The 19044-nt window shown below is 53.7% G+C and overlaps 1 long non-coding RNA gene and 1 pseudogene across 4 annotated transcripts, besides 4 other annotated features; one reads left to right on the plus strand and one right to left on the minus strand.

Annotated features, from left to right (window-relative positions):
- Nucleotides 1-3493: 3493 nt before the first annotated feature.
- On the minus strand, nt 3494-15230 carry RASA4CP (RAS p21 protein activator 4C, pseudogene; annotated as a pseudogene). The gene is made up of 9 exons (NR_024116.2): nt 15186-15230; nt 14839-14976; nt 14126-14270; nt 13414-13583; nt 11279-11416; nt 8783-8918; nt 5388-5508; nt 4174-4238; nt 3494-4062 (listed from the first exon to the last, which is right to left on the minus strand). The product of NR_024116.2 is annotated as an RAS p21 protein activator 4C, pseudogene (transcript).
- Nucleotides 5674-5863: a silencer, noted in NCBI's record as "fragment chr7:44070666-44070855 (GRCh37/hg19 assembly coordinates)". NCBI's record gives its function as "represses an EF-1alpha promoter that drives an FKBP-Casp9 reporter gene in an ReSE screen in K562 erythroleukemia cells {active_cell/tissue: K562}" and the evidence as "EXISTENCE:reporter gene assay evidence [ECO:0000049][PMID:32094911]".
- Nucleotides 10991-11490: an enhancer, noted in NCBI's record as "H3K4me1 hESC enhancer chr7:44075983-44076482 (GRCh37/hg19 assembly coordinates)". NCBI's record gives its function as "activates a minimal SCP1, AML or CMV promoter by ChIP-STARR-seq in naive H9 embryonic stem cells {active_cell/tissue: H9 hESC(naive)}" and the evidence as "EXISTENCE:reporter gene assay evidence [ECO:0000049][PMID:30033119]".
- Nucleotides 13656-18903, plus strand: LINC00957 (long intergenic non-protein coding RNA 957). Of its 3 annotated transcripts, none has more exons than NR_072981.1 (3): nt 13656-13890; nt 14501-14969; nt 18860-18903. It is a non-coding gene; the product is annotated as a long intergenic non-protein coding RNA 957 (long non-coding RNA). The 3 variants fall into 3 exon arrangements; NR_072982.1 differs by having other exon boundaries at nt 13656-13756; NR_015401.2 differs by lacking the exon at nt 18860-18903 and adding an exon at nt 16822-17090 and having other exon boundaries at nt 14501-15709.
- Nucleotides 14942-15031: a silencer, noted in NCBI's record as "silent region_18137". NCBI's record gives its function as "represses an Ori minimal core promoter by ATAC-STARR-seq in GM12878 lymphoblastoid cells {active_cell/tissue: GM12878}" and the evidence as "EXISTENCE:reporter gene assay evidence [ECO:0000049][PMID:35858748]".
- Nucleotides 15122-15231: a silencer, noted in NCBI's record as "silent region_18138". NCBI's record gives its function as "represses an Ori minimal core promoter by ATAC-STARR-seq in GM12878 lymphoblastoid cells {active_cell/tissue: GM12878}" and the evidence as "EXISTENCE:reporter gene assay evidence [ECO:0000049][PMID:35858748]".
- Nucleotides 18904-19044: the final 141 nt, after the last annotated feature.

The raw sequence follows: 19044 nt of genomic DNA on the forward strand, positions 1-19044 counted from the left end.
AGTTGGAGACCAACCTGGACAACATGGTGAGACCCTGTCTCTACCAAAAGTACAAAAAATTAGCTGGGCATGATGGTGCACACCTGTAGTCCCAGCTACTCAGAAGGCTGAGGGAGGAGGATCACTTTTCAGGAGTTGGAGGCCGCAGTGAGTTATGATCACTCCACTCCACTCCAGCCTGGGCAGCACAGTAAGACTCTGTCTCAAAAAAAAAAAAAAAAAAAAAAAAAGATGTTCTGGAAGACTCTGCCCCTCCTCTCCTCGGTCTTGGTTTTTTTTTTTTTTTTTTTTTTTTGAGATGGAGAATCACTCTGTCACCCAGGCTGGAGTGCAGTGGTGCGATCTCAGTTCACTGCAACCTCCGCCTCCTGGGTTCAATCCGATTCTCCCAAGTAGTAGGGGTTACAGCTGCGCACCACCGCACCTGGCTAATTTCTGTGTTTTTAGTAGAGACTGGGCTTCGCCATGTTGGCCATGGTTTGCCAGGCTGGTCTCGAACTCCTGAACTCAGGTGATCTGCCGGCCTCAGCCTCCCAAAGTGCTGGGATTACAGGTATCCTCAGTCTTGTTAATTACACTGGGGTTTGCTGTGTACAGTGAGATCAGGATGAGGGTGGTGAGGTGGTGATCAGGGGGACCCATGCTTCTGTTCAGGGGGTTGGCAGAAGCCAGCAAGGCTTGGGGTTTCCCTGTTTGGAGCTCTCCAAGTTGAGAGTGCAGAGGAGTGTGAGATGCGTGTGAAAATGCAAACTTGGCTCTCCCTGGCTGGAGGCTGGCATTGGGTGAGTCTCTGGTAGGACCAGGCCATGTATACTTTTTAAGCTTTTTTATTCTTGAAAAGTTCAAAGATATACAAAGATAGACTATGCAGGATAATGAGCCCCCACATACTCCGCATCTCTTGTCTGTAATTATCAGCTCGTGGCTACCTCTACCTCTCCCCTCTACCTCTTGTCTCATCTCTACCTCTCCCCCTGACCCCTGACTCTGGGTCATTTTGCAGCAAATCCCAAATGCGTATATCATTTATCCTAAATATTCCATAAACATTCCACTATGTAGCTCTGAAAGATAAGGACGCTTACAACACAACTGCAATATCTTTTTTGTTTGTTTGTTTGTTTTTGTAAAGACGGGGATTTCGCCACATTGCCCAGGCTGGTCTCGAACTCCTGAGCTCAAGCGATTCTCCCACCTCAGCCTGCCAAGTAGCTGGGATTACAGGCATGTGCCACTGTGCCCAGCCAAGTGCAGTATCTTATCACACCTTTACAAAATTAATAATTCCAATCATCCTATAGTTGATCAGTGTTCAAATTTCCAATTGCCTCATAAAAAGATCATTTCTTAACATTTTGTTTTGTTGCAATTGGTTGCTGTAAGTCACCTAAATATCTTGCCTCTTTTTTATACTTTTTATTGTAGTAAAATAGGTATAACATACAATTTGCCATTTTAACCATTTTAAGTGTTTAACTCAGTGGTGTTAATTACATTCACAATGTATAGCCATCACCACTATTTAGTTCAAAAATTTCAAGTCTCCTTTATTTTCCTTTTTTTTTTTTTTTTTTTAATTTTAGGGACTAGGTTTTGCTATGTTGCCCAGGCTGGCCTTAAACTCCTGGCCTCAAGGTGATCCTTCTGCCTTGGCCTCCCGAGTAGCTGGGACTAGAGGTGTGCACCGTCACACCCAGCTTCAAGTCTCTTTTAATTATTATAAAGTTCTGGCCATGCACAGTGGCTCGCAACTGTAATCTCAGCACTTTCGGAAGCCAAGGCGGTCAGATCACCTGAGGTCAGGAGTTCGAGACCAGTCTGGCCAACATGGAGAAACTCCGTCTCTACTAAAAATACAAGAATTAGCTGGGCGTGGTGGCACACGCCTGTAGTCCCAGCTACTCGGGAGGCTGAGGCAAGAGAATTGCTTGAACCTGGGAGGCAGAGGTTGCAGTGAACCAAGATCAAGCCATTTGCACTCCAGCCTGGGCAACAGAGTGAGACTCTGTCTCAAAAAAACAAACAAACAAAAAAAACTATAAAGTTCCCCTTCATCTGAAAATTGAATGTGATTTTAAACAACCTATTTGAGCTCTGAGGTAGATGTCTAAGTTCAAAGCCCACTCCTCCCTTCTGGGGGTCCCAGTTTCGTGATCTCTTCTTCCCTTTCCTTCCTGGTAGCTTAAAAAAATAGAGATAACAGGATAAAGGTGAGGAATGAAGGAATGAATGGATGCAGGCAGACGTGAAAACAGCGCCCATCTGGAGAGCTAGAAACATCTGGAGGGCTGGGACACCTGGAGACGCCCTGTGTCTATGAGCTGCTGTTGTGAGGAGCCTGGAGCCAGTGGACACTGGGAGGGAGGAGGCTTTAGAGTTGGGGGCAACCGGGGGAGGAAGGAGGTTGGCTGTGCCAGGTCTGGGGGCCTCAGGGACTTCTGTGTCCTCATAACCCACAAAAGCCCTGCCCACCCTGCCCCGGGGCGGCCCACAGTAGCAGCGGCTGGTGGTCCCTGCAGCCGGTCAGCCCTAAGAGCGGGCACAACGTGTGGCCTGGGTACCACAGGGCCAGAAGAGAGGGACAGGGGCCCTGCTCCTGTCACCTGCTGCTTCTGCCACCCCAGGACCAAGTCATTGGTGTGAGCCGGTGGCCAGACATCACTGCCCCGCAGGCAGTGGGGGCTCCTCTTGGGCTGGGGGCAGGGCTTGGTGGGCAGCCCTATGGGAGGGGGAGCTGGTGGGGGACCACAGGGACTGACCAAAGAAAGGCAGGCCAGATCCCAGGACACCAGGGGTTCTAAGTCCCCAAGAGTGGGGACTGGGCCGGAGTCAAGTTTTGCCAACCATCGGACCAGCCCCGGGCCTCTATGATGAAGGCATCAGAGAAACCCCATGGGGCCAGAAAGGGGCTGGGGCAACGGTGCACCTTTGGGATCTGGGGTCAGAGGGGGAAGGAGGTGACTGCATGGCAAGGCAAGAGCTGAAGGCCTTCTGGAGAAGGAGGGTCCAGTCCTTGTCCCCACCCTGATCCAGGTCACTGTGGACGCAGCTGGGAGCTGAGCCTGGCAGCCTATGTGACACAATGGTGGGGGGATGGGAGCCCCTACGTGGCCAACACTGCCAGCCACACAGCTAGAGGGCTTGGGGTAAGGGCTGCGTGAAGAGGAATGGGGTCTCTGAGTCCCGCATCTGTGCTGTCCTCAGGGACACCCTAGAGAAGGGACTTGCTTGGGGGCTGCTTTGAGGAGAGAACAGCTGGTTGGACACACTGGGCTCTGTGGCCTGTGGGACATGAAAGAGGGGACCCAGGGACAGCAACTGGGAAGGGAAAGGAACCCCCGACCCCAGAAGAGTGGGGGGAAGAAAGAGGGGGGAACAGGGATGCCCAGAGCCCATACTGTCAGCCCCATCATCGGCACATCCACCGACAGCCTCCGGGGTCCCCCCGGGCCCACTTTCTCCCCAGACCCTCATCACAAGACCCCAGAGCCTGGACAGTAACAGCAGGTTTACTGTTGGCAACAGCACAGCCCTGTGGCACCCAAGGGTAGCGGGTGGGGTGGCGGCCGGGTCTCCTGGGGCCCCGTTCTCCCTCCCATTCTCTAGGTCCCTGGAGGCCAGACCCCTGGGTGTGGCCCATCCTAGCAGTGGTTCTGGCTGGGTCTGTCCTAGGCAGGAGAGGAGGGTCCCTGGAGAGGCAGTGATGGCTACAGCGGCTGTAGGGAGCTGGGGACACTTCAGGCCAGCCATGACAGGCCCAAGCCTGCTCAGCTCTGCACTTCTGGGGATCCCCTTATTCCTGACTCTCCCCCCTCCCCCACTTGGAAGAGACCTAGGCCCTGCACCCTAATGAGGAGGACCGGGGTGAGGGGGTGCAGAGTGTCCTGGAGGGGCTCCGAGCGCTTGGCAGGGGACTCAGCAAGGGAGCGTAGGGCGGGCCTCACGTCTGCAGCTCCAGGAGGCAGTTGGGCTCTGAGGGTGGGGAGCCGGCCGGGCTGGAGCTATGGGCCTCGCGGAGGTCCTGCAGCACCCGGAGCAGCCGGGCCAATGAGTCCTCGGGGACTGTGGGCAGAGGCAGCCGTGAGGGCCCCTGGGAGTGAGCCCGAGGACCCCACCCGTGCATCTCTGGAGGGGGCTCGGGCCACGAGCAAGTCCCAGGTGGGCAAGACCTACCTTTGCCAGGGCTCGTGGGCACCGTGCCTGCCTCTGCACCCCCGCTCAGCTCCCGGTGCCTCTCCCTGTGGGGGAGGTCAGAGTGAGGGCCAGTAGCCTCCACTCTCCCTGCCAGACCTTCTGGTGTCCTTGTGGGAAGGCTGGGGGTGGCCCAGCATGGGCCTCCTGGGCTAGAGGTGGCTCTGGGGGTGATGGCAGGGCTGACTCTTTCAGTCTATGAAGAGGCTGGGCCAAGGCCCACCAGGGCACCTTCCACCTTCTCCCTCCCCGTGTCTCCTCCTCCTCCCCATCCGACTGTGGGTTGACCAGAAGGCCCTTTGCATTTGTTTTGTTTTGTTTTTGAGACAGAGTCTTGTTCTGCGGTCCAGGCTGGAGTGCAGTGGCGCAATCTAAGCTCACTGCAACTTCCACCTCCTGGGTTCAAGCAATTCTCCTGCCTCAGCCTCCTGAGTAGCTGGGATTACAGGCGCCCTCCACCACATCAGTTAATTTTTGTATTTTTAGTAGAGAAGAGGTTTCGCCATGTTGGCCAGGCTGGTTTCAAACTCCTGATCTCCAACAATCTGCCTGCCTCCACCTCCCAAAGAGCTGGGATAACAGGCATGAGTCACCGCACCCCACCTTTGTGGGCTTTGAGGGCAGAGATAAACCCTGGAAGAGTCGATGAGGAATGGGGAGGACCACACCCTTCCTCCTTGCAGAGTGTAGGGGTGTGACAGATGAATGAGCTCCAGCTCCAGTTGGCTCAGGGGAAGCTGAGCGCATGGGAAGCACTGGATCACCTTGAAGTATCCTGGCACCAGCCACATCTCCAGAGACCCTGAGTGATGGGGCCTTGGCATCCTGTTTTTTAAAGCTGATCTTTAAAAGCATCCTGTTTTTTCTAAGCTTCTGCCAAGGCTGAGAACCACTGGACGAAGCAAGATGGCCAAGGAACTCAGGGAATTGGCTGAGGCTGTGCCTGTACTCCAAGGGCCCAGGGGAACAGCTGGGCAGGTTGCAAGGTGGGCTCAGTCAGCACATGGCATGAAGCAGGCATGGCCCTGACCCTTGGGGCCTCTGTCCTAACCTGAGCTGGCCTCGTGCTGCAGAGAGGTACTCCTGGTGCCCTCCCCAGATGTGGCCAATTACAAGAGAGGTGACCAGCCACCATGGAGCAGCCCCAAGCCTGGCACGTTCCCCAGGCTGCACAGGCTCTCCTGGGTGGGACTCACCACAGCATGGCCTCCACGCCCAGCAGGTGCCGGTAGATGAGCTGGGCCTCAAGGTCATGGTCAAGAGGGTCATTCCACTCCTGCAGGGTCACCCGTGACCGGGTCTTATCGCAGCCCTGACCTGGGGGCACAGAGAGGGCAAAGTTACAAGCAGACACTTGGGACTACCATGTCCAACACTGTGGTTGCACAGATGGAGAAACAGAGGCCTGGAGAGGAGAGAGATGCACTCGGGGGTCCCTGGTGAGGGCTGGGCTGGGAGCATAGCCTGGTAAGTCTGACCCAGGCCCTGCCTCGGCTCCCCACCCTCTGGGGGCAGCAGCTCCTCTTGGGGTCAGCCCCTGCACCACGGGATGCGTGACTGAGGAGCATGGATATCATCAGGATATGACTCGGGTTGCTGGGTAACTTTTGGTTTTTTTTGAGACGGAGTCTCGCTCTGTCGCGCAGGCTGCAGTGCAGTGGCACGATCTTGGCTCACTGCGAGCTCTGCCTCCCAGGTTCACGCCATTCTCCTGTTTCAGACTCCTGAGTAGCTGGGACTGCAGATGCCCGCCACCACGCCCAGCTAATTTTTTATATTTTTAGTAGAGACGGGGTTTCACTGTGTTAGCCAGGGTGGTCTCGATCTCCTGACCTCGTGATTTGCCCGTCTCGGCCTCCCAAAGTGCTGAGTTACAGGCGTGAGCCACCGCGCACAGCCAGGGAGCCGGGTAACTTTCTGGACAACTGTCTGCCTGGAAGGGAGCAGGCTGAAACGTTAACATCATGGTGAGGTGGGCCACAGGGGGTTCATGCCTTAGAATGAGCTGGTCCTGCAGCTTGCTGTCTTTATGACCTTGCCAAGTCATCTGCCTTCCCTAAGCCTCAGCTTCTCCTCCATACAGTGGAATAACAGGCCCTGTCTCTTGGGCCAGGGTGGGTCCCACCTTGCCGATAATGAGAGTATCGCTCTGATGGTTACAGGCAGAGGCTGCAGGCCATATCAGCCAGCCAGCAATGCCCTTGCAAAGAGTCACCAAGAGGCCAGGCACAGTGGCTCACACCTGTAATCCCAGCACTTTGGGAGGCTGAGGCAGGAAGATAGCTTGAGGCCAGGAGTTCAAGACCAGTCTGGGCAACATAGTGAGACCCTGACTCTACAAAAAAATAAAACAGAAAATAGCTGAGTGTGGTGGCATGTGCCTGTAGTCCCAGTTCTGCAGGAGGCTGAGGCAGGAGGATGGCTTGAGCCCAGGAGGTCAAGGCTACAGTGAGCTATGATTATGCCACTGCACTCCAGCCTGGGTGAGAGAGTGAGAGACCCAACTCAAAACAAAAACAAAAACAAAAGAGTCACCCATCCCTATACAGTGCTTGGCTGTAAATCCAGGGCTGGGCTAGAGTGCGTGGGTCAGTTTTCGATGGCCTCTGCCACACTGGGCTCTGGGGACCAAGGTTTGGCCTGGCCTGAAGGACAGGGGACTCGAAGTGCTGAGTCTCCTCTGTAAAGTAAGTGTGGATAACAGGGAGAAGGTCTCGAAAGTTCTAGAATTGTGCTGTTCTACAGGGCGGCAGCTAGCCACATGAAGCTATTTGAGTTAATTAAAATTAAAACAACGTTTTTTGTTTCTTTTCTGTTTTTGTTTTTTTTTTTTTTTTTTTGAGATGGAGTCTCGCTCTGTCGCCAGGCTGGAGTGCAGTGGCACCATCTTGGCTTACTGCAACCTCTGCCTCCCAGGTTCAAGCAGTTCTCCTGCCTCAGCCTCCTGAGTGGCTGGGACTACAGGCCCACGCCGCCATGCCTGGCTAATTTTTTTTTTGTATTTTAGCAGAGATGGAGTTTCACCATGTTGCCTAGGCTTGTCTCTAACTCCTGAGCTCAGGCAATCCGCCTACCTTGGCCTCCCAAAGTGCTAGGATTACAGGCGTGAGCCACCACACCCGGCCAAAACAACATTTTTAAAAATGTGAAACTCAGGCCAGATGTGGTGGCTCACTCCTACAATCTCAGCACTTTGGGAGGCCGAGGCAGGAGGATTGCTTGAGCCTGGGAATTCAAGACCAGCCTGAACAACATAGCAAGATCCCACCTCTAAAAAAATTTTTTTTAAATGAGCCAGGTGTGGTGATGCATGCCGGTAGTGCCAGCCTACTCAGAGGCTGAGGCAGGAGGATTGCTTGAGCCCAGGAGTTGGAGGCTGCAGTGAGCTATGATCGTGCCACTACACTCCAGCCTGGGCAACAGAGCAAGACCCTGTTTTAAAAAATTAAACAAAAAAAACCCCTCAGCAACTCAAGCCACATTTCAAGTGCTCAAGAACCACAGGTGCTAGAACCTAGAGTACTACACAGTATGGCGTCCTTCTAGAAGCTCCTCTATGCCATCCCTCTAGTGCCCAAGGCTCAGGGTCCCCTCCCACCCACAGCTCCGGATTCAGATGGCCAGCATTGGAGTGTGCGAACCCAGGGGCTCTCTGGCTCTCATTAGCAGGGGGCTCCTCGAATGTGTTCCTGAGAACACCTGTTCTGTAAGAAGCTCCTTGGGGAAGAGAAGGGTTCCCTGTCAAAAGAGTTTGGGAAGTGCTGGGTTAAACCACGTTAGAAATGGAATTCTAGGCCGGGCGTGGTGGCTCACACCTGTAATCCCAGCACTTTGGGAGGCCGAGGAGGGCAGATCACGAGGTCGGGAGTTCAAGACCAGCCTGGCCAACATGGTAAAACCCCGTCTTTACTGAAAATACAAAACTTAGCTGGGTGCAGTGGCTTGCGCCTGTAGTACTTGGGAGGCTGAGGCAGGAGAATCACTTGAGCCTGGGAAACAGAGATTGCAGTGAGCCGAGATTGCACCACTGCACTCCAGCCTGGATGATAGAGCGAGACTTGGTATCAAACAACAACAACAACAACAACAAAAAAAAACAAGAGCAGCTTGACTAACATGGTGAAACCCCATCTCTAGTCAAAATACAAAAAAATTAGCTAGGCTTGGTGGCGAGTGCCGGTAATCCCAGCTACTGGGGAGGTTGAGGCAGGAGAATTGCTTGACCCTGGGAGGTGGAGATTGCAGTGAGCTGAGATCGTGCCATTGCACTCCAGTCTGGGGGACAGAGTGAAAATCTGTGTCTGAAAAAAAAAAAAGAAGAAGAAATAAAAAGAAATGGGATTCTAACGTGTTTTCGGGCCTCCTTAGAGCCTTCAGCGAATTCACTCATGTGCTTCACACACATCACGTGGCATTTCCCAAACCACCTGGTCCACGGGACCCTTTCTGCCCAGAGCTCCTGGAGGGGCCAGCATTCCTTGGGTTATGTCCCTGCAGGTGCACAGCAGGGCTCACGGTCCCATCGTTCAGCCAGAGGCCCGATCTCGCAGTGGACGGATGCAGAGCCCGGGACCCAGGCCTCCTCTCCCACCTGTCTTCTCTTTTTGGTGGCAGCAGCTCCACTTGTCCCCACAGAAGATGCCAGGGTGGTAGGAGCCCAGCAGTCCGGTGTTGTTGATGCTCACCTTCCGCAGCACAGACAGCCACTGGTTAAGCTCATTCACACACTGCAGGGGACACAGAGGGGGAGGCCTGTTCAGACGTCACCTCCTCCAGGAAGCCCTCCTAACCCGGAGCTCCTGTACCATGCCAGACACCATGTTCCCCACCATACCAACCCAGCAGCTTTGAGTGAATTAGGAGAAGCTGCCCTTCCTCCAGTGGAACATGACCCATGCCCGGGCGCATGGCCTGGAGAGCAGGTGCAGTGGCTCACTCCTATAATCCCAGTGGCTCACTCCTATAATGCCATCATGGCTGGCTAATTTCTTTTTTTTAGAGATGGGGTCTTGCTACATTGGCCAGGCTGTTCTCAAACTCCTGGCCTCCAGTGATCTTCCCACCCCAGCCTCCCAAAGTGCTGGGACTACAGCTGGGATTATAGGGGGCCGAGGTGGGAAGATCGCTTGAGCCCAGGAATTCAAGACCAGCCTGGGCAACACAGCAAGACTTCATCCTCTCCTCTCCCACCTGTCTTGTCTTTTTGGTGGCAACAGCTCCACTTGTCCCCACGGAAGGCACCGGGATGGTAGGAGCCCAGGAGGCTGGTGTGGGCTGGATTTCAGCCGCCGCTGGCCCCTTGGCCACGCTCGTAGGTATTCCAGAACCCGCCAAATATATTTGGTGGCCCTGATATCACTACTTTTCCCAGTGGCTCTGGACCCTGACACAAAAGGGAACTCCTAGAGGGAAGGGCACAGAGGGACAGGTCTGTGACTTCCTCCCCACAGGCCAGGACGGTCAAGCCTGGAAGAAACCAACCCCCCTCCAGCTGCAGGCTTCCTACTTGTCCCACATGTCCCTGCCCTAGATACACATCTGGGTCACCCTCCTACAAGGTCCCTGCTCGAATGCCACCCATCAGAGGTCCTCCCTGACCACTCTTTAATTAATTTACTAATTAATTAATTTATTTATTTTGAGATGGAGTCTTGCTCTGTCACCAGGCTGGAGTGCAGTGGCTCGATCTCAGCTCACTGCAACCTCCACCTCTCAGGTTCAAGTGATTCTCCTGCCTCAGCCCCCCAAGTAGCTGGGACTACAGGCACACGCCACCACGCCCAGCTAATTTTTGTATTCTCCCTGACCACTCTTAATAGGACAGACCGCTCCCTGCTATACCCCACTCTCTTCCCTCCCTTGCTCCCTTAGTCCCTTCTGGTTCCCTTCAAGTCACTATCACAATTTGCTTTTTTTTTTTTTTTTAAGAGACAGGGTCTCACTCTGTAGCCCAGGCTGGAGTGCAGTGGTGTGATCATAGTTCACTGCAGCCTCCAACTCCTGGGTTCAGGCTATCTTCCTGCCTCAGCCTCCCAAGTAGCTGGAATCACAGGTGCATGCCATCATGGCTGGCTACTTTTTTTTTTGTAGAGATGGGGTCTTGCTACATTGGCCAGGCTGTTCTCAAACTCCTGGCCTCCAGTGATCCTCCCACCTCAGCCTCCCAAAGTACTGGGACTACAGGCATGAGCCGACATTTGAAACATGTATTTATTGGCCCATCTTCTCCCTGGGATATCAGCTCCATGAGGGCAGGACTCTGCCTCATCTGTCACTGTATCCCCTCACCTAGAATCATGCCTGGAACCTAGGAGGTGCTCAGTAAGTATTTTTTAAATAAATGAATGAATGAGTTAATGAAGGAACAGATGAGAAGGTTACTTGAGAACATGCACCCAGAGCCACACAGAGCATAATGTTTGATTATTAGGCATTGATACAGACACAGAACCACACAGGTGCCAGCTCAGACTTTCTTTTTTAGAGAAAGGGTCTTGCTCTGTTGCCCCGGCTAGAATGCTGGGATTATCCGCGTGAACCAGCGTGCCTGGCCCCCATCTCAGTTATCTGGAAATAGTTTCCAACAAACGGGTGCAACGTGCAAATTTCACATCACGGGGATGCACCTGTCTGTGCACTGGCCCACACACAGACCTACACATGGATGCCCAGGGAAAGACATGGGCCATGGCCTCCTGGGGGCTCAGGCCCCTGGACAACACACACACACCTGTCCCTGACACCTCCCAGATTAGACACACCCTGCGGTGCCTGATGTAGCTGGTAGCGGGGCGAGAGGCTCAATCAACTCTTTTCTCATCCAGTCCACTCAGGCCCCTCCCACAGCACCCAGGCCACTCCCACAGAGCTCAGGCCACTCCCATAGCACCCAGGCCATTCCCACAGCACCCAGGGCATTCCCATAGCATCCAGGGCACTCCCACAGCACCCAGGCCACTCCCATAGAGCTCAGGCCACTCCCACAGGGCTCATGCCACTCCCACAGTACCCAGGCCACTCCCACAGCACCCAAGCCACTCCCACAGTGTTCAGGCCACTCCCACAGCACCCGCTCCCCTCCCCGCACCTTGCACTGCAGGTAGGCAGTCTGGGGCCTGCCGGCGTCGTCCGTGTAGATGACCTGCATGACGTGCGAGCTGCCAAAGTTCTTTTCCTCAACCTTTTCTGCTGCCCGGATGTTGGCTAACTTGATGAGGGCGCTTTTCTGGGGCAGTCAGGGAGGAGGAGGCTCAGGGACCTAGCCAGGGGCATTCCATTCCCCATCTCTGGGCCTCAGTCTCCCCTTCTGCAGCACCAGGGGTAGGCGTGGGAGACCCAGAGTGACCTCAGCCAGGGCAGAGCACAGACTGATGGTGACCAAGTGCCCAGCAACTGGGAGAGGAGGACCTGGCCTCTCTGGGGGGCACTCCCAGAAGGCCTCGGAGGTGTGAGCTTTGGGGTAGTGTCTGGACAGCCAGCATTCCCTGGGCTACAAAGTCAATCCAGCCGTGGCCAAGGCTTTGTGACTTTGCATTTATTAATTTTCCAACTTGCTTTTGTAGTCCCAAGCTCTAACAGTCATATCCTGACCGGGCGCAGTGGCTCACACATGTAATCCCAGCATTTTGGGAGGCCGAGGAAGGCGGATCACCTGAGGTTGGGAGTTCGAGACCAGCCTGACAAACATGGAGAAACTCCGTGTCTACTAAAAATACAAAATTAGCCGGGCATGGTGGTGCATGCCTGTAATCCCAGCTACTTGGGAGGCTGAGGCAGGAGAATCGCTTGAACCCGGGAGGCGGAGGTTGCGGTGAGCCAAGATCGCACCATTGCACTCTGGCCGGGGCAACAAAAGTGAAACTCCATCTCAAAAAAAAAAAAAAAAATGGGACCAGAATTAAATAATGCCCATGTAGTCAAATCTTTCAACCCTGGCAAGGAAGATGTATAATAATCATCTGAGTGCTTTGGGAGGCTGGGGCAGGAGGATTGCCTGAGGCCAGGAGTTTGAGAACAGCCTGGGCAGCATAGCAAGACCCCATCTCTGCAAAAAAAAAATGTTAAAGAAAATTAGCTGGGCTTGGTGGCACGTGCCTGTAGTCCCAGCTACTCAGGAGGCTGAGGCAGGAAGATTGCTTGAGCCCAGGAGTTTGAGGCTGCAGTCAGCTATGATCGCACCACTGCACTACAGTCTGGGTGACAGAGCAAGACCCTGTCTCAAAAAATAATTATCATCATCTGAGGGGTCTTTGGTCGGAAGGGGCGGGCCCCTCATCTGGTGGGACCCCTGAGCTGGTTGAGAACAGGGTGGGTGATGAGCTCCTTCACCTACTCCTAGCCTGCTCTCACCTGCCCAGGGCTAGGCTGGGTACTCCTGGAAGATCATCCCCATAGCCTGCATGACTAGGGGCAGGTGTACAGCAAGCAGTCACCAGGTCCATGGAGGAAGTATGTCCTCAGCCCTTCCTGGGAGAAGAGAGCTTGCAGGAGAGGTGACCCATGACTCAGAGAGGGCTGTACAAGGTGATCTTTGAGATCCCCTCCCACACCAAGATTCCATGCTTCTATATTCCTGCCCGTTCCAGGAAGCCTCCCCTGTTTGCCCTAGCCTCCTACTCATCTAGCAGCCCAGGTGATGTACTATCTTTAATAATACCATTTGCCTAAATAGTACTACCTGCCAGGCCCTGGGTCAGGACCCTTAGGGAGATCATCTCATTTAATCCTCAACAACCTGGTAAGGTCGGATCAACTTCCTCCATATTCATTTTTTTTTTTGAGACGGAGTCTTGCTCTGTTGCCCAGGTTGGAGTGCAGTGGCACGATCTCGGCTCACTGCAACTTCTGCCTCCCGGGTTCAAGCGATTCCCGTGCCTCAGGCTCCCGAGTAGCTGGGACTACAGGCACCCACCACCACACCCGGCTGATTTTTTGTATTTTTAGTAGAGACGGGGTTTCTCCATGTTGGCCAGGCTGGTCTCAAACTCCTAACCTCAAGTGATCCACCCGCCTTGGCCTCCCAAAGTCCTGGGATTACAGGCGTGAGCCACCGTGCCCGGCCCTCCTAGGTTCTGACAAGCAGTACAGATGCCACACACCTGGCTTTCTTCTCTGACCCCGGGGGTACCTCAAGTGGGCTCCAAGGAAGGGGACAGGTGCCTCTAAGGTGCCCCACTTGCCGGCCTCTCAGAGCCCCACTTGCCGGCCTCCCTCCTTACCCACCTTGGAGCTGGGCGTCTTCGCGAAGCTGAGGGCCTCGGTAGTGAGGGAGAAGTAGAGCTTCTTGAAGGAGGAGGACATGAGGGGGCCCTTGCCCTTGGTCCTGTGGATGAAGAGTGGCCCCTCCTTCACAGGTGGCGCCTGCAAACTCAGCGTCCGCTGCAGGTCCAGCTCTGCCAGGCCAGGGAGGGAGGGGAATAGAGAGCCCAGGGAATGAGGGCGGGACTGGGGGGGGGGGGCGGAGCAGTGGGCGGGGCCATGGGGCTCAAGGGCTGAGCAAATCTGAACAGCAGGCAGTGGACGTAGTCATGGGGCTCAAGGGCGGAGCAAACATCAACAGCTGGTGGTGAGCGGGGTGACAGGTGGACTGAGGAAGGCAGGGCCATGGGCTTGGAGGCGGGACACGCGTCAGTAGCAGGTGGCGGCGGGGCTATGGAGCTCAAGGATGGAGCAAATGTCAACAGGCACAGATGATGGGAGGTGAGGCCATGGGTCTAGGGGTGGGGCAAACGTCAACAGCAGGCAGTGGGCAGGGTCACAGGAAGCACAAACAGTGGTGCGTGGGTCTATGGCCTGGGGGCCTGGCAAATGTCAACAGCAGGCGGTGGGTGGGGCCACGAGAGGAACAAACAGCGGTGGGTGGGGCCGTGGGGCTCAAGGGCGGAGCAAACGTCAGCAGTAGGCTGTGGGCGGGTCTGTGCAGGGCGGCGCTCACCGTCCTTCTCCTCGATGTCCACGAGCTTGGTGATGAAGTCCTTCAGCTGCGCCACGCCCTGGCGCACGGTGGGCTGCAGCGGCTCCATCCAAGCCTCCTTGGCCCTGGAAGCCGGCGTGTCCATGTTGCCCACGTTCTGGACTGCCTGGAGGTGACAGCAGGAAGGACCAGGTTCTGCTAGGTTAGGGGCCTAGCCACTGCACCCCCTCCCACCCCCCCTCCCCAAGTCTTTGCTACTCAGCTGTAGCGATGGAGGCAGAGGCGACAGAGGCCATGCCCACGGGCCCCCTCCAGCCCCACTAGGGATCAGGGAGGAGAGGATCATGAAGTTTGATGCCTTATGATAACTGAGACCACTTGGGCCTTCCTCTGTAGGTTTAACTGACGCTGCTGCACTGGATACCCCACCCCGGTGCCGGGCACATAGGTGCAGCCTGAGAGTAAGCAGACCTGGGTTGGAAGGTCCCGCGATTCACCACCGACAGGATGGGCGGCCTTGGCAACCCCCGACCCCTCGCAGGCCTGTTCCCTTATCCATGAGATGGAACTCGGACAAGGTGGCCACAGGAAGGCTTTGCAAACTGTGAAGTGCAGTGCCTACGTGGGCGTGCCAGTGGCCTCGCCGGAGCCGGTAGGGAACACTCTGCAGTCCAGGCCAGGGCCCCGGTAGGACACCCAGCTGTGCATCCCGCCCGTGGCCGCAAGGCCCGCACCTTGGCCAACAGGAGCAGGGTGCGGCTGGTGCGGGCGTCCGCGTGGCGCTCCCGCAGGTGGAAGAGCTTGGGCGACATGATGGCGGGAGAGAAGAAGCGCAGGCACAGGAAGCTGGTGACGGCGATGAACGGTACATTCTGGAGGGGTGCGGAAGAGCGCGGGCTGGAGTCCCCCAGACCAGGGCTCCTGGCAGCCCCCTCCCCTTAGGCTCCGTCCCTGACCCTCGCCGGGACACAGCCTCCCTGGTCCTCCCCAGCGCTCCCTGGTTCCCCACCGCTCTTCGCCCGCCCCTCGCCCCAGCCCAGTCCAACCCGGCCCAGCCTAGCCCAGCGGGTGGAGGGCGCACCTCGTGCTGGGCGCCGGGGAAGCGCTCGCGCACGCGCCGGAAGAGCTGGCGGAAGGTGGCGCGCACCACGGCGGGGCACGCGGGAACCGAGCGGCTGAGCGCGCTCAGCAGGGCCCCCAGGTGGGCGCGCAGCGTCTGCGCGCTCTGCTCCAGCACCTCGGCCTCGGTCTGCGGGCGGTGCAGCCCGGAACACCTGCGTGGAACGGGGCGGGTTGGCAGAGGAGGTCACGGTCAGCGCCAGGGCCACGACAGGAACAGTGGCTCTCACAGCAGCCGGGACACGGACACAGGGGACAATACACGGGTGGGCAGAAGCACAAACACACATGCTGACAGGGCCTGATCCCAACCCGCTGCCGCTGCGCCCCGCACCCCCCCGGAGTTACCCCCGGCCTCACCCTACATCCTTAACTTCCACTTTGCTGGGGTCCAGCTCCACGTACTTCTCCTCAAACACCTTGTTGATGATGGGGCCCAGGACGCCGTGCAGGTACTGCATCCCGGCCACCTGGGGACCACCGCAGGTCACATTGATCCTGTCTCCCCCAGTCCCACTCCAGCTGCCCACCTTCTCCCGGCAGCCGCCCTTGCACCGTTTGCCTGCCGTATCCGCCCAGGAGGGGGACAGGTACACAAGCAGGGCAAACTGTTTATTCATGAATGAATGAATGAGTGAGTGAATGAATGACTAGAATTCTTAGCCCTTGTAATCCTAGCACTTTGGGAGGCCGAGGCAGGAGGATCACTTGAGGCCAGGAGTTTGAGACCAGCCTGGGCAACATAGTGAGACTGTCTCTAACTTAAATTTTAATCACACACACATTCTTTTGGGGGGGGGGGGTGCGGGGCACGGAGTCTAGCACGGGGCCCAGGCTAGAGTGCAGTGGCGTGAGCTCACTACAATCTCTGGCTTCTGGTTCAAGTGAGTCTCCTGCCTCAGCCTCCCCAGTAGCTGGGATCACAGGTGCCCACCACCATGCCAGGCTAATTTTTGTATTTTTAGTAGAGATGGGGTTTCGCCATGTTGGCCAGGCTGGTCTCGAACTCCTGACCTTAAGTGATCCGCCCGCCTCAGCCTCCCAAAGTGCTGGAATTACAGGCATGAGCCACTATGCCCAGCCACATTCTTAACCTTAAAGGGCTCTCAATATGGAGATAGAACACTGGAGTCGAAGTCCCAGCCCCCTCTGTCGCTCTCTCTGAAGCTCAGTGTTGTCATTTGCAAGATGAGGACAATATAGCATGCAACCTCACCTTCAGAAAAGACTCCATGGACTTTGAGGCCAGAGAGTTGCTCCGGAACAGGGTGTTGGTCTTTTGTTACTTGGTCATAAGTAGGCGTTTTCCTTTTGATTTGGTTCTAGGAGGTTAGTGTGCATTGGCGTTCTGTTGCCTGCTTCCAGCCCCTATTCTCCTGCCTCAGGTTCATTAGAAAAGACTGAGTTTGGGGCCGGGCAGGGTGGCTCACACCTGTAATCCCAGTACTTTGGGAGGCCAAGGTGGGCAGATCACGAGGTCAAGAGATCGAGACCATCCTGGCCAACATGGTGAAACCCTATCTCTACTAAAAATACAAAAATTATCTGGGCATGGTGGCACGTGCCTGTAGTCCCAGCTACTCAGGAGGCTGAGGCAGGAGAATTACTTGAACTTGGGAGGCAGAGGTTTCAGTGAGCCGAGTTCGTGGTCACTGCACTCCAGCCTGGCTACAGAGTGAGATTCCATCTCAAAAAAAAAAAAAAAAAAAAGAATGAGTCTGGCCCCTTTTTGTCTTTCTCTCATCCTCTTTGCCTTTCACCATGTTATGATGCAGCAAGAAGCCCCTCATCAGATACTAGTGCCATGACCTTGGACTTCCCAGCCTCCAGAACTGTGAGAAAATAAATTTCTGTTCTATGTAAATTACATAGTCTGTGGTACTTTGTTATAGCAGCACAAAACAAACAAGACAACAAGCAACAATCATGTGAACAGAAAGAAAAATGGGCATAACAAATGAACCATGTTTTTGTCCAAATTAGGTTCACAAGCCCTTATCTGCACCATCCAGACTCAAACACCTTAAGATTTTGGTAGTTCATTTGGTAGCAAAAACTGACCTTAATTGTCATGAGGATATTTAGAGTCGTCTTATATTCCACTTAGCTGATTATTCACACATATCACACACTTAGCTGATTATTCACACATATCACAGCAAAAGCATGAACATGTCTGATTACCAGTTCCTGTCCAGATCCTGTGATAAGGGCTTACCCAGGACATACATGGTATAACTTTTCTGAAATCTTAGATTGAATTCCAAAGCACATCTGGACTTAAGGGATTGTGGATATATACATATATATACTATATGTATATATATACACATATGCATATATATACATATGTGTATATATATACATGTGCATATATACATATACATATGCATATATAATATATGTATACATATACATATGCATATATATACATATGCATATATACATATACATATGCATATATACATATGCACATATACATATACATATGCACATATATACATATGCATATATACATATGCATATATACATATATGTATACCTATACCTATGCATATATATACATATATGTATACCTATACCTATGCATATATATACATATATGTATACCTATACCTATGCATATATATACATATATGTATACCTATACCTATGCATATATATACATATATATGTATACCTATACCTATGCATATATATACATATATGTATACCTATACCTATGCATATATATACATATATGTATACCTATATCTATGCATATATATACATATATGTATACCTATACCTATGCATATATACATATATGTATACCTATACATATGCATATATATACATATATGTATACATATATACACACATAGTATATATACATATACACTATGTGTGTGTGTATATATATACACATATATATACTATGTGTGTGTATATATGTATATATATACTATACTTTTTTTGAGACAGAGTCCCGCCCTGTAGCCCAGGCTGGAGTGCAGTGGCGCTATGTCGGCTCAGTGCAAGCTCTGCCTCCCTGGTTCACGCCATTCTCCTGCCTCAGCCTCCCGAGTAGCTGGGACTACAGGCGCACGCCGCCACGCCTGGCTAATTTTTTGTTTTAGTAGAGACGGGGTTTCATCGTATTAGCCAGGATGGTGTCGATCTCGTGACCCCTTGATTCGTCCACCTCGGCCTCCCAAAGTGCTGGGATTACAGGCGTGAGCCACCGTGCCCGGCAGGATTTATATTTTAAGGAGGCAGGGGAGTTATTCTCCATGGGAGGAAATAAGCCGTGAGCTGCCTTGCGCTTTGGCATGTTTCTCTATCATACAGATAAGAAGCTAGTTCAGTCAAGTGTATGCAGATTTGTGGATGGAAAAACTGGTGCTCCCAGGAGGAGGGGAGCAGATTGAGGAATTACTGACACCTTCTAGGGGCGACCAGCCAGATGTGCAGGTGAAGCACAAGACAGGTTCTCTTCATGCCTCCACTATCCTGGCCTCGACCAAACTGCAGAGGGAAAAACTCAGGTGAGAGTGAGAAAGCACAGTCACTTTCAGTTAGGTTTGTAGCGGTGTGATCGTCACTTAGCACTCATTTATTCGTGTATTCATACATTTATGCATGTTTCTTTCACAGATCAAACTGTTGAGGGTCCACAAACAGGCTGAAGACCTCGTCTGGAGGGAGACTGCAGTGAACCCAAGATCGTTCAAATAAGCGCATCGACATAACAAGATTTAGAAAAGAATAAGCACGGTGCTGTGAGAGCAGCTAGCGGGGGCTGGACTGGGTCCCTGCGGCCAGGCTTCCAAGTCGAGCTG

This window comes from Homo sapiens, chromosome 7 (assembly GCF_000001405.40).
Source record: "Homo sapiens chromosome 7, GRCh38.p14 Primary Assembly".
In the NCBI taxonomy this organism is placed as follows: Eukaryota; Metazoa; Chordata; class Mammalia; order Primates; family Hominidae; genus Homo; species Homo sapiens.